This window comes from Homo sapiens, chromosome X (genome assembly GCF_000001405.40).
Source record: "Homo sapiens chromosome X, GRCh38.p14 Primary Assembly".
Lineage (NCBI taxonomy): Eukaryota > Metazoa > Chordata > Mammalia > Primates > Hominidae > Homo > Homo sapiens.
The window spans coordinates 70914633-70932162 of record NC_000023.11 but is presented as its reverse complement, the minus strand read 5'-3'; the positions used below and the strand labels follow the sequence as shown (position 1 = coordinate 70932162).

At 44.0% G+C, this 17530-nt stretch overlaps 1 protein-coding gene across 3 annotated transcripts, besides 1 other annotated feature; it reads left to right on the top strand.

Annotated features, from left to right (window-relative positions):
* SLC7A3 (solute carrier family 7 member 3) lies at positions 1067–6584 on the top strand. 3 transcript variants are annotated; one of them, NM_001048164.3, is made up of 12 exons: positions 1067–1186; positions 2165–2535; positions 3161–3319; positions 3530–3707; positions 3906–4018; positions 4143–4365; positions 4540–4679; positions 4779–4881; positions 5122–5288; positions 5470–5636; positions 5985–6093; positions 6220–6584. In NM_001048164.3, exons 2-12 carry the CDS (start codon positions 2166–2168, stop codon positions 6348–6350), a joined length of 1860 nt encoding a protein of 619 aa, NP_001041629.1. In that variant the 5' UTR covers positions 1067–1186; position 2165; the 3' UTR covers positions 6351–6584. The 3 variants fall into 3 exon arrangements, with proteins under 3 accessions (NP_001041629.1, NP_116192.4, XP_047298554.1); NM_032803.6 differs by having other exon boundaries at positions 2141–2535; XM_047442598.1 differs by having other exon boundaries at positions 1067–2535.
* Positions 1323–1824: an enhancer, noted in NCBI's record as "H3K27ac-H3K4me1 hESC enhancer chrX:70150189-70150690 (GRCh37/hg19 assembly coordinates)". NCBI's record gives its function as "activates a minimal SCP1, AML or CMV promoter by ChIP-STARR-seq in naive H9 embryonic stem cells {active_cell/tissue: H9 hESC(naive)}" and the evidence as "EXISTENCE:reporter gene assay evidence [ECO:0000049][PMID:30033119]".

The window sequence follows — 17530 nt, the reverse complement described above, 5'->3', positions numbered from 1 at the left end:
GAGTAAGAATTGATTGGGTCAGATGGATTATGGATCTGACCCAATGTGATCATTCGTAGATTCTTCGGGTCCTTTTCTGTTTCCTAGTATCTCCTAGCCTAAACGGACCTACCCTGCTGCTGATGCCTCTCCCTGTTTGTCTTTCCTTGTGGCCACATCCCTCTTCTTGTTCATTTGAATAAGATATGGTGCCTACGGGAGGCAGGCATTGAAGTCCAACAGGCCAGGTTTTATCAAAGGTGGTCAACAATAATTATGGTGTGGTGTCAAACAAGTCATGCCTCTGAGCCTCAGCTTACACATCAATAAAATGGAACTAAACAAGCTTCCTCCTCCAAGATGTTGGTATTGTCAGAATTTCACATTTAATAGTTTAATATTTATAGGCAGCTGGAGACACATTATAGAGAGATTGGGGCCTATAAATCAATTTAGACTGGATTAATTATCTGTATACAGGTGGCTTGAAATCATCTTCCATTCTCCTGCTGCCTGCATTAGAAACACCCACAGCTGAGCGTGAGAGCTGAAGGGTCAGGGTCAGATGTGTAGACAAGAAAGCTAAGGAAGAAAGACTGAGAGTGAGGTGGAGACTCCCCTGCTGTGTTCCGCTTCACTCCTGACACACACACACACACACACACACACACACACACACACACGCACCCAACTCCCCCCCATCACACCCCACCTACCTTCCCCATTCCTGCCCAGAATCACTGGTCCTAACAGGGCACAGAGGTGGAAAATCTCATGGGTTCTTTGGCCAGGAAGCCTCTTATTGTCCTGTTCTGACGACCAGCGAGACAAATGGGAAAAGACTGCCCTCCCCCTTTTCTCGCTCCCCGGCACGCCAGGCTTGCTAGTGAGGATGGGACGCAGTCTCAGGCCCCACGCAATCCTTTTGCAAAGCCAAGAAGTGTGTGTGTTGTGTGTGTGTGTGTGTGTGTGTGTGTGTGTGTGTGTGTGTATTGTGTGTAGCGAGGAGGATTGGGGGTGGGATCCCATGACGTTACCGGCTCCGCCTCCTGGTGTATATAAGGGGCGCTTGGCGCGCAACGACCCCAAGCCGCAGCTTTGAAGCCTGAGCGGCCGAACTCGGCAGCTCCAACCCAACTCGGCTTAACTCCGCCTCACCGAGCCCAGTCCAAGACTCTGTGCTCCCTAGGTTTGCAACAGCTCTCTGGTAAGCGTTGGGGACCCACACGTGTGTCGGAGGGGGGACGGCGAGGGTCCGGGCGTACCTAGGATTCTCTGGCAACCATGGCATGCAGTTGCATCAACGGGGCCGTGACCTGTTGCTGGCGAGACCCCCGCCCCGGGAGTTAGGGCTCCCGTCTCCACCCCAGCTCCAAACCATTTCTAGATGGGGGCAGGAAAATCTGGGACCTGAGTCGGGGGGCATCGGGTGGAACCCTTCCTCTCTGCTGAGAGGAGAGTGCGAGCAATCTCGGGCTGCCCTGGGGCCCCTCTGGGGGCGCATCTCCAAATCTTTAGATGTCGAAGCCCCGCCTCGCTGTTGATGCTTGCAGGTCAGCCTAGCAGGGCTTGGGAGGAAGTAGGGGAACATTTGCTTACTCCCCTGGGCGACAGCTGCGCTAGTTGAGCAGTGTGGGCTTGGTGAGGAGGGATGGAATTGAGTCGGTGCTCACTTTTAATCTGCAGCGAGGTTGGTCCCCTCTCCCTCTGGGGGGTCTGGGGGCTGTGTCTGTTTGAAGCCCCGGGGGAAGCCCCTGGGTGGAGCTCTGTTTAATTCCCAAATAGCCACAGGCCAAGGAACTGACACATTAGGTTTCAAGATTCCTGGGTTGAGATTAGGATAAACCCTATCAGTTTCTGGCAAGAGAAAGAGACCTAATATTGATTGAGCACTTACTAGGCGCCAGCCACTCTACTTCAGGGGGCTTTCACGTGCCATTTCTGAAATTAGCCCTTCCAAAAACCTTGTAAGGTATTGTAATTCCTACTTGTTTATGAAGAAACTGAGGTTAGAGGTAAAGTGACTTGCCTTTGTCCCTTCCATATCCCCGTCCTCATTTCCCAATAGCTCCTTTGCTTGGTGGAGGGGGTCTTGTAATTCGCTTTCAGAGTTTAGGGATAATGAGCCCTGTCGAGGGGTTTTTGTCTTGTTTTTCACCAGATCATCTTCTTCAATTCCTGCTAGGATGCCGTGGCAAGCATTTCGCAGATTTGGTCAAAAGCTGGTACGCAGACGTACACTGGAGTCAGGCATGGCTGAGACTCGCCTTGCCAGATGCCTAAGCACCCTGGATTTAGTGGCCCTGGGTGTGGGCAGCACATTGGGTGCAGGCGTGTATGTCCTAGCTGGCGAGGTGGCCAAAGATAAAGCAGGGCCATCCATTGTGATCTGCTTTTTGGTGGCTGCCCTGTCTTCTGTGTTGGCTGGGCTGTGCTATGCGGAGTTTGGTGCCCGGGTTCCCCGTTCTGGTTCGGCATATCTCTACAGCTATGTCACTGTGGGTGAACTCTGGGCCTTCACCACTGGCTGGAACCTCATCCTCTCCTATGTCATTGGTGAGATATGGTGGGGGAGGGAGGGAACTGCACAGCCAGCAAAGGGGTTTTTGGTCAGGAAATCTGGGTGGAAGTATTCTTTATATTATTCACAGGACCTCAATCTCCCTAAATGTGCGGGTTTGCTGGGGGTCTGGGGGGGGGTGTTGAAGGTGTGGAGAAATTGCTCATTCTATCCATCTCCGTCCTGGTTTCCTTAATTAAGTGAATGGTTTTGGTTCTTAAAAAGTAATAATAGGCCAGGTGCAGTGGCTCACGCCTATAATCCCAACACTTTGGGAAGCCGAGGCAGACAGATCACCTGAGGTCAGGAGTTCAAGACCAGCCTGGCCAACCTGGTGAAACCCTGTCTCTACTAAAAATACAAAAGTTAGCCGCGCAGGGTGGCTTACACCTGTAGTCCCAACTACTCAGGAGGTTGAGGCAGGAGAATCTCTTGAACCTAGGAGGCAGAGGTTGCAGGGAGAGGAGATTGTGCCACTGCACTCCATCCTGGGTGACAGAGTGAGACTTGGTCTCAAAACAAAACAAAAGTAAGAATAGGTGAAAAAGGCAGGGACTTGTGTGAGCCTGGGGTCTGGGAAGAAGGGAACTTGGCCACATGTTTCTCTCTCTGCTACACCAGGTACAGCCAGTGTGGCCCGGGCCTGGAGCTCTGCTTTTGACAACCTGATTGGGAACCACATCTCTAAGACTCTGCAGGGGTCCATTGCACTGCACGTGCCCCATGTCCTTGCAGAATATCCAGATTTCTTTGCTTTGGGCCTCGTGTTGCTGCTCACTGGTGAGGCAAAGAGCAGGGTATAATGGTGGGGGTTGGGCCAGGAGGGGCTAGTCCTTGGGGCCAGGGATAAGGATGGGGGATGGGCCTGAGAAAGGCTTAAGGGAGGTGATAATGGTGGGGAAGAAGAAAAGCTGGGAAGGAACCTAGAGGCAGGGAAACAAAGCTTGGACTGAAGACTTTCTGGGAGTCCTGAATGCATTTCTCCCACAGGATTGTTGGCTCTCGGGGCTAGTGAGTCGGCCCTGGTTACCAAAGTGTTCACAGGCGTGAACCTTTTGGTTCTTGGGTTCGTCATGATCTCTGGCTTCGTTAAGGGGGACGTGCACAACTGGAAGCTCACAGAAGAGGACTACGAATTGGCCATGGCTGAACTCAATGACACCTATAGGTTAGATGGTCACTCTTAGGAGCTGCAGAGCTGGGAAAATGAAGGGGAAGAAGGGGATCTGCTGAAGGATTCTGGATGGGGATGGGAAAAAATGGGAGGCTGGGCTTTGAAGACCTAGCTAACTGGTTTGGCATTAGAGAAAAGATACAGAGTTGGCTGAACACACCCTTACCTTCTCCAACCCTTCTTCCACTCTAGCTTGGGTCCTCTGGGCTCTGGAGGATTTGTGCCTTTCGGCTTCGAGGGAATTCTCCGTGGAGCAGCGACCTGTTTCTATGCATTTGTTGGTTTCGACTGTATTGCTACCACTGGTAACACAGTCATTCCATTCTGTTTGGGGCTTGGGCACAGTGTGTGCCCAGGCTGTATGCAGACTGGGGGTGGTAGAGGAGTGGGCCTGCTTCCCTAATTTAGAACCTTACGCCCTTCCTTCAGGAGAAGAAGCCCAGAATCCCCAGCGTTCCATCCCGATGGGCATTGTGATCTCACTGTCTGTCTGCTTTTTGGCGTATTTTGCTGTCTCTTCTGCACTCACCCTGATGATGCCTTACTACCAGCTTCAGCCTGAGAGCCCTTTGCCTGAGGCATTTCTCTACATTGGATGGGCTCCTGCCCGCTATGTTGTGGCTGTTGGCTCCCTCTGTGCTCTTTCTACCAGGTCAGTATCAAATGTTTGTTTTCTTCTGCTGTCAGAGTCTCAGGTTATAGCATTCAGTACCAGAGAATACCCCTTAAAAGGGCTGTGAGGGGAAAGTGGAGACTCTTTAAACATACAGTCTTGGGAAGAGAGATCCCAGTCAACTCATGCCACCCTGGGCATTCTCCTCTCCAGCCTCCTGGGCTCCATGTTCCCCATGCCTCGGGTGATCTACGCGATGGCAGAGGATGGCCTCCTGTTCCGTGTACTTGCTCGGATCCACACCGGCACACGCACCCCAATCATAGCCACCGTGGTCTCTGGCATTATTGCAGGTAACAGACCCTCTTTCCCCTTCCCTTAGTTGTTTCGCCAACTTCTTTAACTTTGCCACTCCCTTCTCTCATTTCTTGTTTCCTGCCTATTAATTTTAGCATTCATGGCATTCCTCTTCAAACTCACTGATCTTGTGGACCTCATGTCAATTGGGACCCTGCTTGCTTACTCCCTGGTGTCGATTTGTGTTCTCATCCTCAGGTGAGACTCTTCCTCTGCATACTGTGATTTGGATTTTTATTCTTGGATGAGGAATGATGGAGATCTGCTCCTCTTTCCTCCTTCGCCTTCATTATTCCAACTTTCTTTGAGGAATCTGGGTATCTCACCCTGCCAAAAAGAACTTCCCTTAATGGTGATGAGGAAGGTTAAGCTGCCTGGGAGAAGATGATAAAGTGAGTAAAGGTTGTTCTTAATACTGCCATCTTACTTTTGCCTCAGGTATCAACCTGATCAGGAGACAAAGACTGGGGAAGAAGTGGAGTTGCAGGAGGAGGCAATAACTACTGAATCAGAGAAGTTGACCCTATGGGGACTATTTTTCCCACTCAACTCCATCCCCACTCCACTCTCTGGCCAAATTGTCTATGTTTGTTCCTCATTGCTTGGTGAGCAGTGGAATTTTTCTGGGGTGGCTCTGAGATCAGCGTGATTGGGTCGAAGTGTGTGGCATTTGGTGGCTGAGGAAGAACTAGAGAGAGAGCGACTCTCCTTGGAACAGGGTTTCTAATGTCTTAGCATGTTGGTCTTAAGAGTTGGTTTTGATGTCTCTCAACTTGACCTTTGAAGCTGTCCTGCTGACTGCTCTTTGCCTGGTGCTGGCCCAGTGGTCAGTTCCATTGCTTTCTGGAGACCTGCTGTGGACTGCAGTGGTTGTGCTGCTCCTGCTGCTCATTATTGGGATCATTGTGGTCATCTGGAGACAGCCACAGAGTTCCACTCCCCTTCACTTTAAGGTAAATGAACTCTGTCTTTTTTCCTTGCCAGCCCATCTTGGGAGAATAGGCTCCAGATATCTTGAGGTCTAATAAAGTTCATAGATATTCTTTAATTGAACATGAAAGGGAAGATATAGGAGGTACCTAGGCCAAAGACTTCTTCTCTGACCCTCTTTAGTTCCTTTCCAGTTCCATTTACCCAAACTGCATATTCTTGGAGTCTCATGAGGTATGCTAAATGAGCAGCTACTGAAATGCAGAGGACAAGTAAGAGTTGGACTCACCCTTTTCTGGCCTGCATAGGATAGGGATCTCTTTCTAGGTCAACCTGTGGTATGTACAAAGAAGATTTTACTTTGTTTTCAGGTGCCTGCTTTGCCTCTCCTCCCACTAATGAGCATCTTTGTGAATATTTACCTTATGATGCAGATGACAGCTGGTACCTGGGCCCGATTTGGGGTCTGGATGCTGATTGGTAGGTATCCACTTGGGAAGAGTAGGCTTCTTTGGTGTCCTAGCCCAGCTCCTTTCCCTCTTGGTCTCAAGTAGGAAACCTATGAAGCCTTTACACCCCCACCTCACAGCTACCTTTCCCCACTAGGCTTTGCTATCTACTTCGGCTATGGGATCCAGCACAGCCTGGAAGAGATTAAGAGTAACCAACCCTCACGCAAGTCTAGAGCCAAAACTGTAGACCTTGATCCCGGCACTCTCTATGTCCACTCAGTTTGACATCGTCACACCTAAATGCTGTCTGGTCCCCTGCACAATAATGGAGAGTACTCCTGACCCCAGTGACAGCTAGCCCTCCCCTGTGATGGTGGTGGTGGATACTAATACAGTTCTGTACGATGTGAAGGATGTGTCTTTGCTATTTCTTGTCTATTTTAACCCGTCTGCTTCTAAATGATGTCTAGCTGCTTACCAACTTTAAAAAATGATATTAAAAGAAAGTAGAAAAATAAACTGTGTCCTGTTTTTTGCTTGCTAAAGATGTAGAGCCTGACTTTTAAGAGTGAAGAGCCTCAGAGAAGTGTCCTTTGTGTTTTCTTCAGTTACCACAAAAGCATCTGCTGTGCCTGTGGGTGCTTCTTGTTGAATCAGGGTTTGAGGAGGGTGGTGTAAGTAGGTAGCCATCCAGTCCAGTCACACTTAAAGGAATGGTCTTGAGATATGTTTTCCCCTCATTACACTTAAGGTTAGGTTCTGGATAAGTAGACAGCAACACTTGTCTCTGGGATTTGGGGTGGACTCTGATAGCAACACTGACATTGGTTAGGGCCTACACTGAAACTATTGGCTTCTGTTCCACCTCTTCTAGTTGGACCAGTCCCACACTCCTGTAACTGCCTGAGCATCAGAAATTTTGGCTGCGGTGTTTGGCACTGCTGGGAGGAGGGGTGGATAGTCAGGGGGTTTGGTAAGGGACCACATATATTAATATATGGATACTGTTTGCTGCAGAAGTAGTAGGAAAATAGAGGTCAGAGCTCTGCTCAGAACGAGAACTATTCATTCATCCATTTATTCAACAAACATAGGTGAAGCTCCTATAAAACGTTAGGTCCTGTGGTGGGTGCTGGGGATACAAATGTGAATAAAACATAATCCCCACCCTTAAGGAACTCACAATCTTGTGGAGGAGACAAGCAGGTAAATATGACTACAAAACAGTGTGATTTGTACCAGGGCAGTGCAGAGTGCTGTGGAAGCACAAAGAAGGACATGCTTGAACTGAGTCTGCAGTAGATGCTTAAGAAGTGGACTGAGGGAAGGGCTTGGCTGTCAGTGTACAGTGTGCAAGAAACCACGGAAGTATGAAAAAACATTCAAATTGTGTTTGGGGTGTGGCATACAGTTTAATGTAGCTGGAGGGTAGCACATATGCAGCTGTGGTAAAAGATAAAAGGCTGTATACATGGCCTTGTATACTAAGGAATTTAGATGTTATAAGTGTGTGTGCAGAGAAAAAGAAGTGGGAAGGCCAGGTGCGGTGGCTCACGCCTGTAATCCCAACACTGGGAGGCTGAGGTGGCCGGATCGCTTGAGCTCAGGAGTTGCAGGCCAACCTGGGCAATATAGTGAGACCCTGTTTCTACAAAAAAATAGAAAAAATTAGCTGGACGTGGTGGTGCACATCTATAGTCCCAGCTACTCAGGAGGCTGAGGTGGAAGGGATCCCTTGAGCCTGGGAAGTTGAGTCTGTAGTGAGCTGTGATAGTGCCACTGTACTTCTGCCTGGGTGACAGAGTGAGACTCTGTTTCAAAAAAGAAAAAAAAAAAGGTGGGGAGTCACTGGACAACTCTAAGCAGGGGGATGGTTGGATTTGTGAGTGTGAGTCTGGCAGCAGCAAGGAAGATGGCTTGGAAGTGAGTGGGACAAGCTAGAGCAGGAAGATAATAGCTACCATTTATTGAGCATTTATTATATTCCATTACTCTGCATACAATCTCATTAAGTCTTTTCAATAACCCTGTGAAATAGATGTTAAGATAGTTATTTTTTGCAGATGAAGAAACAGGCTTTAGGTGAGAAATACGCTTTAGGTCACATAATGTAGAAAGGTCAGAGCCAGGAAAGAAGCCCAGTTTTGTTTGACTCTGCAGCTTATACTCTAACCACTATGCAACATTGCTAGTAGTAACTGACTGCAGTCATTTGGGCAAAATATTTCAGAATTTTGATCAGTTGAATGCAGGGGGTAAAAAAGAAGTGAGTGACATCCAGGTAAAGTTTCTAGGTGAATGATCAAACCATTAACTAATATAAGGGAGCATAAGAGGAAAAGAATATTTGGAAAATAATAATTCAGTTCCAGGTATGATGAGTTTATAAACATACATGTGCTTTTAGCTTCATATATAGATGAAGATATACAGTCCTGCAGTTGAAATTTGGAGCTAGGATAGAGGTCTGGGCTAAAGTTATAGATTTAGGAGTCAACAACTCAGAGGACAAATATAATGTGATAGAATCTGTGTGGGGCCAAAGATGACCTTCGGGCAAAATAAACTAAATCAAAAGAAAAAATATATTTTGCGGCACAAATTGTATAATTTCCTTTATACACAAACAGCTCTTACAGATCAATAGGAAAGAAGTGAACAACCTGATAGAAAAATTAGCAAAGGATGTAAATAGTTTTCAGAAAAGAATATAAAACACCAACAAATAGAAGAGGCATGCTCAACTTCACTATTAAAGAAGTACGAATGAAAACAAACATGAGGTGTTAGTTCTTACCTTACAGACTGACAAACAAATTTAGATGACTAGGCAAAAGTGAGGCAATAAAGAAAGTGAGGCAAAAGTGAGGGTAAACAGGCAGTCTCATGCATGATGGTGCTGTACATTCTTGTTAAGTTTTGTGGAGGGCAATTTGATGATAAGAATTAAAAACACGTTCCTTTTCGTCTGACAATTCCACCCCACCACCTGAATTTTAAAATTTACATATGTATAGAAAAAATTTACATACGTACAAGGATGTTTACTTTTCTTTTTCTTTTTTTTTTGAGACCGGGTCTCATTCTGTTACCCAGGCTGGAGTGCAGTGGTGCAATCACAGCTCAATGCAGCCTGGAACTCCTGAGATCCAAGAGATCTTCCCACCTCAGCCTCTCCAGTAGCTGGGAAGGATGTTTACTTTTATAGGAATTTAAAAAATTATAGGAATTTTAAAAATTTACATATGTATAAACATTTTAAAAATTTACATGTGTATAAGGGTGTTTACTGTGGCATTGCTAATAACAGCATAAAACTTGGAAGCTAGCTAATGTGCATCAGCAAGAAACTAGTTAAATTAGTTCCAATACATTAATTTGGGGAATACTTAAGCAGCCATTAAGAGAATAAGAGAATTGTATGTGCCAATAGGTGATACAAAAGACCTTCAAGATACTCTGTTAAGTAAAAATGAAAACAAAACTCAAGTCACAAGGTGCAGAATATTTGTGAAAGAACAAAAGAGAATGTACTTACACATCATTTTTTTTTTCTGGAAAAATATATATATATAAGAAACTGTTAACCTCCGGTTTCTCTTCTGTACTTTTTCCTTTTTTCCTTTTTTTTTTTTTACTGTGTGCAAACATTACTATTTTCATTCCTTTTATGATGATCTTAATAGTAAAAGATTAGGGAAACTCTAACATTTAAGGGATAGACAAAGGAGGGGGATTCAATAAAGGAGTTGAAGAAGGGATGACTGAAAAGACAGGAGAGTGTGTGGAAGTCTACGGAGGAAAGAACTTTTCAGGAACAATGAATAGGCAATGCCCCAAGTCCACAATGCCAAATGCTGCCTAGAGAGCCGAGTTAAATAAGATAAGGACAGAACAGGGTTCACTGGTTTTTGTCGGTTAGGAGATAGTTGCTCATTTCAAATGTCAGGTGCTGGGGGTGGAAGCTGTGCTGCAGTGGGTTGAGTGAATAGAGGGTGAGGAAGTGGACACAAGGGGCTATAGGTTAGCATTTCAGGCAGTAGCTGGAGGGAATTGAAGGAGAGTTTTTTTTTTTTTTAAGGTGGGTGATTCTTGCATTTATATACTTAAAGAAGATTGTCAATAGGGAGCACTGATACATCCTGGTACTGCTGTTTAGATAACTCTCATGTGAAGGAGGAAGTGGTTCTGTGATTTGGTTCTCTAGTCAGTTTCCATTCAGTGCAGTGTTTCAGATATCTGAGTATAACCTTCATGAATTTTTCTCTACCTGTGTAGTTCCTGTACTGAGTATTAAAAAAAAACCATATTTTAAAGCTTAAATATACTTATTTTAAAAGGAAAACATTTTACCATGATCATAAGTAAAAAAAAGTATTTAATATTTTTCTAATATACATTTAAAGAAATATCTCACTATTAAAAAATGTTTGGCTGTGTAAAATAATCACACATACCACACTTTGGAAACATTCATACAGTTGGGTACCATGCTTGAAGATGGAATTGAAAATTGCTTTAGGCATGGTCTAATCTTAATCTCCACAAGAAGAGAGAGATCACATTGAATCAAATAAGTACAAAGACACAAAATAGGAAATAATAAATGCCTTAAGAGAGGTATGCATGAAGTATCATGAGAATTCACATGACGGAGTTCTTGCAAGTAGTTCTGGGAAGGCTTCACAGAGGTCAAGGCTTTTAAGCTAAAGCTTAAAGAATAGGTAAAATGTGTAATTTAGTGAATTGGAGTGACAGCATCCAGGAGGATGGAATCTTGTGTACAAAGGCAAAAAGATGGGAAAGCTTATAATTCATCTTGCCTGGAGCCTAGGATTTTGAAGGGATGAAGTGGAAAAATAAGGCAGAAAAGGTAGGTTCCAGTGAGACTCTTTTTTTTTTTTTTTTTTTTTTGACTGGAGTCTCGATCTGTCGCTCAGGTTGGAGTGCAGTGGTGCAATCTCAGCTCACTGCAACCTCCGCCTTCCAGGCTCAAGTGATTCTCCTGCCTCAGCCTCCTGAGTAGCTGGGATTACAGGTGTGTGCCACCTTGCCAGGCTAATTTTTGTATTTTTAGTAGAGACGGGGTTTTGCCATGTTGGCCAGGCTGGTCTCGAACTCCTGACCTCAAGTGATTTGCCCGCCTTAGCCTCCCAAAATGCTGGGATTACAGGCGTGAGCCACCTCACCCGGCCTTCCAGTGAGACTCTTGAGGACCATTAATTCGAGGGCCTGCAATTGAATGGCAATAAGTGTTTGGATGAGTGTTAAGATAGGTGAAGGAGGCAGTGGTTCTGTGATTTGATCATATAATTCCTTCCACCTCTGCTACCTTGTTATGTACTCATAGCCTAGATCTTGCAAGAACGCGGGCCTCTGAAATTACTAATTGAAACATTAAATTCTGCACAAAAGATCCTGAGTAGCCAAAGTAATCTTTTTACCAAAAAGAACAAAGCTGGAGGCATCACTCTACTGCATTTCAAAATATATTACAAAGCTATAGTAATTATCTTGCTTGGAAAAGTTCAAGATTTGGCATCTGGTAGGAACCTCGGGCTGCTTCCACTCTTGGCAGAAGGGGAGCCTACACGTGCAGAGATCACATGGTGAAAGGAAGCAAGAGGAGTGAGGGGAGATGCTAAGTTGTTTTTAGCAACCAGCTATCCTGGGAAGTAATAAAGAACTCATTTCCCCCACATTCCGGAAGGAGGGCAATAATCTATTCATGAGGGATCTGCCCTCATTACCCAGACACCTCCCATTAGGCCCCATCTCCAACACCGGGGATCAAATTTCAACATTAGATTTGGAGGAGAGGCTGAGCGTGGTGGCTCAAGCCTGTAATCCCAGCATTTTGGGAGGCTGAGGCAAGAGGATCACCTGAGGTCAGAAGTTCAAGACCAGCCTGGCCAACATGGTGAAACCCCATCTCTGCTAAAAATACAAAATTAGCGGGTGTGGTGACACACATCTGTAATTCCAGCTACTCAGGAGGCTGAGGCAAGAAAATCGCTTGAACCCAGGAGACAGAGGTTGCAGTAAGCTGAGATCGCACCATTGCACCCCAGCCTGGGCGACAGAGCAAGACTTTGTCTCAAAAAAAAAAAAAAAAAAGGGATTTGGAAGAGAAAGGCATCCAAACTATAGCAGTAATCAAGCAGCATGATATTAGGATAAAAACAGATGCATTGACCAGTGGAATTAGATAGAGAGCCCAGAAATAAACCCACAAATCTATGGTGAATTAATTTGCAACAGGTACCAAGAACACAAAAAGGGGAAAGGGCAGTCTCTTTAATAAATTGAGTTGAGAAAACTGGATATCTACATACAGAAGAGTAAAAATGGACCGTTATCTCATCCGTTATATAAGAATCAACTCAAAATGGATTAAAGACTTAAATGTAAGGCTTAAAATTATAAAATTTGTCTGGGCCCAGTGGCTCATGCCTGTAATTTCAGCACTTTGGGAGGCTGAGGCAGACAGATTACCTGAGGTCAGGAGTTTGAGACCAGCCTGGCCAACATGGTGAAACCCCATTGCTACTAAAAATACAAAAATTAGCCAGGCATGGTGGCGCACACCTCTAATCCCAGCTACTTGAGAGGCTGAGGCATGAGAATCACTTGAACCCAGGATGCAGAGGTTGCAGTGAGCCAAGATTGCGCTGCTGCACTCCGGTCTGGATGACAGAGCGAGACTCTGTCTTAAAAAAAAAAAAAAAGAAAAGAAAAGAGAAGAAAAGAAAAGAAAAGAAGCAAAATTAAAACTACCAGAAGAAAACAGAGGAAAAGTTCCATGACATTAGTCTGGGCAGAGATTTTTTTGATATGACCTCAAAAGCACAGACAACAAAAGCAAATGGGGGCCAGGCACGGTGGCTCATACCTGTAATCCCAGAACTTTGGGAGGCTGAGGCTGGCAGATCAAGAGGTCAGGAGTTCGAGACCAGCCTGACCAATATGGTGAAACCCCGTCTCTATTAAAAATACAAAAAAAAAACTAGCCTGGCATGGTGGGGCATGCCTGTAATCCCAGCTTCTCAGGAGGCTGAGGCAGGAGAATCGCTTGAACCTGGGAGGTGGAGGCTGCAGTGAGCCGAGATCGCACCACTGCATGCAGCCTGGGCGACAGAGCAGACTCCGTCTCAAAAAAAAAAAAAAAAAAGAAAAGCAAATGGGATTGCCTCAAACTAAAAAAACTGCACTAGAGTGGAGACAACCCATGAACTGGAAAAAATATTTGCAAATTATACATTGGGTAAGGGGCTAATATCTAAAATATACAAGGAGCTCCAACTGCTTAATAATAAGAAAACAAACAACTCTATTAAAAGTGGGCAAAGCATATTTCTCAAAAGAAGTCATACAGGCTGAGTGTGATGGCCCACATCTGTAATCCCAGCAGGTTGGGAGTGCGAGGCCAGAGGATCTCTTCAGCCCAGACCAGCCTGAGCAACATAGGGAGACTCTGTCTCCACCAAAAAAAAAGAAAAAAAAATTAGCTGGGCGTGGTGGTACATGCCTGTGGTCCCAGTTACTTGGGAGGCTGAGGTGGGAAGACTGCTTGAGACCAGGAGGCCGAGGCTGCAGTGAGCTATGATTGCGCCACTGCACTCCAGCCTGGGTGACAGAGTGAGAACCTGCCTCAAACAACAACAACAAAAACCCCAGAACAAAACAAAACAAAACAAAACAAAACAAAACAAACAAAAGAGATAACATACCCATGATCTTAGCCAAAAGGCCAAGAAGCAATTCAACATCTCTAATCATCAGAGAAATGCAAATTAAAAGCACAAGGAGATATTTTATGTCACTCCTGTTAGATTGTCTATTATTAAAAAGGTGAAAGATAAATACTGGCGAGGAAGTAGAGAAAAGAGAACGCTTATAAACTGTTGGTGGTATTGTAAATTAGTATGGCTATTTTGGAAAACAGTATGAAAGTTCCTCAAAAAACTAAGAATAGAATTACCATATAATCCAGTAATTCCACAACTGGGGATATTCCCAAAGGAATTGAAATCGGTATGCCGAAGAGATGTTTGCACTCCCTTGTTCATTGCAGCATTATGCACAACAGCCAAGATATGGAAACAATCTATGTATCCATCAAGGGATGAATGGATTAAAAAATGTGGTATACAGCCAGGCGTGGTGGCTCATGCCTGTAATCCCAGCACTTTGGGAGGCCATGGTGGGCGGATCATGAGGTCAGGAGTTCAAGACCGCTTGACCAACATGGTGAAACCCTGTCTCTACTGAAAATACAAAAAATTAGCCGGGCGTGGTGGCAGGCGCCTGTAATCCCAGCTACTTGGGAGGCTGAGGCAGGAGAATCGCTTGAACCTGGGAGGCAGAGGTTGCAGTGAGCTGAGACTGTGCCACTGCACTCCAGCCTGGGCAACAGAGTGAGACTCCATCTCAAAAATATATATATATATATATATGAAATATATATATATAATATAATATAATATATAATATATATAATATATATTATATAATACATATATTATATAATATATAATATATATAATATATATTATATAATACATATATTATATAATATATAATATATATTATATACATAATATTATATAATATATAATATATAATATATTATATTATTATATATATTATATATATTATATATAATATGTATTATATATAATATATATAATATATAATATATAATATATATAATATATAGTATATATAATATATATACACTACATATATTATATATTATATATTATAATATATATATTATATATTATATATTATAATATATATATTATATATTATAATATATATACTATATATTATAATATATATATACTATATATATTTATAAATGTATATAGTATATATATATAAAATTCTGTCATTTGTGGCTGGGTGCAGTGGCTCACATCTGTAATCCCAGCACTTTGGGAGACCGAGGTGGGTGGATCATTGAGGTCAGGAGTTTGAGAAAATTCTGTCATTCGTTACAACATGGATGAACCTAGATGACATTATGTTAAGTGAGGTGAAATAAACCTGACACAGAAAGACAAATACCATATTATTTCACCTATATGTGGAATCTAAATAAGTCAAACTCGTAGAAGTAGAGGGTAGAATGGTGGTTACCAGAGGCTGGAGGGAGTGGGGAGGTGGATGGTAAAAGGGGAGATATTGCCCAATGGGTACAAAGTTATAGCTAGATAGCAGGAATAAGTTACGGTGTTCTATTGCACAGCAAGATGACTGTCATCAATTATAATGTATTGTGGGCCAGGTGCAGTGGCTCATGCCTGTAATTCCAGCACTTTGGGAGGTGAAGTGGGGAGAGTCGTTTGAGCCCAGGAGTTTGAGACCACCTGGGCAACATAGTGAGACCCTGTCTCTAGAAAAAAAAAAATTAGTCGAGTGCGGTGGTGCACCTCTGTGATCACAGCTACTTGGGAGCCTGAGGCAGGAGGATCACCCGAGCCTGGGAGGTGGAGGCTGCAGTGAGCTGTAATTGTGCCACTGCACTCCAGCCTAGGCAATAGAGTGAGACCCTGTCTCAAACAAACAAACAAACAAACAACTAATGTATATTCCAAAATAGCTAAAAGAGGATTTTAAATGTTCTTACTGTGAAGAAATGATAAATATTTGAGGTGACAGATATGCTAATTACCCTGATTTGATCATTGCACAACATATACGTGTATTGAAACATCACATTATATCCTATAAATATATACAATTATTATTTTTCAATTAAAAATAAGCCAAAAACCCCCACATTAAGTTTTCTTTCTAAAACTTCCCAAGCTTTTCTAGCTCACTGGCTCAAGTAACCCCACTACAATTCTCTGGCTTCATGAAGCCTCCAATTCACTGCCCCTCCTACCACACACACTTTCTCTCTTTTCATCACTCCTCCAATCCTTGTTGTTGTTGTTGTTTTTTTTTTGAGACATGATCTCACTCTGTCACCCAGGCTGGAGTGCAGCGGCATGATCACAGCTCACTGCAGCCTCGACCTCCTGGGCTCAAGAGATGCTTCCACCTCAGCCTTCCAAGTAGTTGGGACTACAGGCACTGGCCACCATGTCCGGCTAATTTCTTTTTATGAGACAAACCTGTTGCCTAGGCTGGTCTGGAACTCCTGGGCTCAAGTGATCCTCCCACCTCGGCCTCCCAAAGTATTGAGATTATAGGCATGAGCCACTGCACCCAGCCTCCTCCAAACTTTGCTTGCTCCCTTTTTCACTTAAATTCCTGAATTTATTATTATGACTCTTGCAAATACCTTCAACTGCCTACACAATACTCCATAGTTCCCCTCCACCCACCTCCTGGAGGAATCCACACATTCATCTTCTTTATACTTTAACCTGTATAGTTCAGGATTGGTGGAGGCAATCACACAATGGGCAGGTTAATGATAGTCAAGCTTAATCAACTAGGTCTTCAACATAGCTAAAAATCCCCCTTTACTCTTAATTCTCCAACTCTCTAAAACCACTCACTTACCTTATTCACATTCTTCAGATCTCTCCCTCCTACTCTCTGCTGTTGACTTTGCCTCATACTTTATTGAGAAAATGCATGCCCATCAGATAAGAACTCCTTCATTTTCCTGTGGGTTTTAAAAAATGAAAATAGTGTCTCTTTTTCTCCCTAATGATAAAAATATGTGTTTATTGTAGAAAATTTAAAAACACTGAAAAATGGGGCTGGGTGCTGTAGCTCATGTCTGTAATCCCAGCACTTTGGGAGGCCAAGGCAGGTGGATCCCCTGAGGTCAAGAGTTCAAGACCAGCCTGGCCAACATGGTGAAACTCCGTCTCTACCAAAAATACAAAAATGAGCTGGGTGTGGTGGTGCATGCCTGTAGTCCTAGCTACTTGCGAGGCTGAGGCAGGAGAATCACTTGAACCAGAGAGGTGGAGGTTGCAGTGAGCTGAGATTGTGCCACTGCACAACAGCCTGGGCAACAGAGTGAGACCCTGTCTCAAAAACAAAACAAAACAAAACAAAACAAAACAAAAATCAGCTGGGCGCAGTGGCTCACGCCTGTAATCCCAGCACTTTGGGAGGCTGAGACAGGCAGATCACAAGGTCAAGAGATTGAGACCATCCTGGCCAACATGGTGAAACCCCGTCTCTACTAAAAATAATTTTTAAAAAGTTAGCTGGGCGTGGTGGCGTGCGCCGGTAGTCCCAGCTACTCGGGGAGCTGAGGCAGGAAAATCGCTTGAACCTGGGAGGCGGAGGTTGCAGTGAGCCGAGATTGTGCCATTGCACTCCAACCTGGGCAACAGAGCAAGACTTTGCAAAACAAAACAAAACAAAACAAAACAAAAAACTGAAAAATATAAATAAAGTAAAATTCTCCCAAATCTCACCACTCAGAGATAAACATTGTTGACATTTTGGTAAATACTCTTCCAGACATTTTTGTTTAAATATGCATT

Bases quoted from the DNA above. Each gene is read 5' to 3' on its own strand.
- SLC7A3 (NM_001048164.3), top strand. From the start codon at position 2,166: ATGCCGTGGCAAGCATTTCGCAGATTTGGTCAAAAGCTGGTACGCAGA. The intron at 4,019-4,142 runs GTAACACAGTCA...CCCTTCCTTCAG, and splicing joins CGACTGTATTGCTACCACTG to GAGAAGAAGCCCAGAATCCC. The intron at 4,680-4,778 runs GTAACAGACCCT...TATTAATTTTAG, and splicing joins GGTCTCTGGCATTATTGCAG to CATTCATGGCATTCCTCTTC.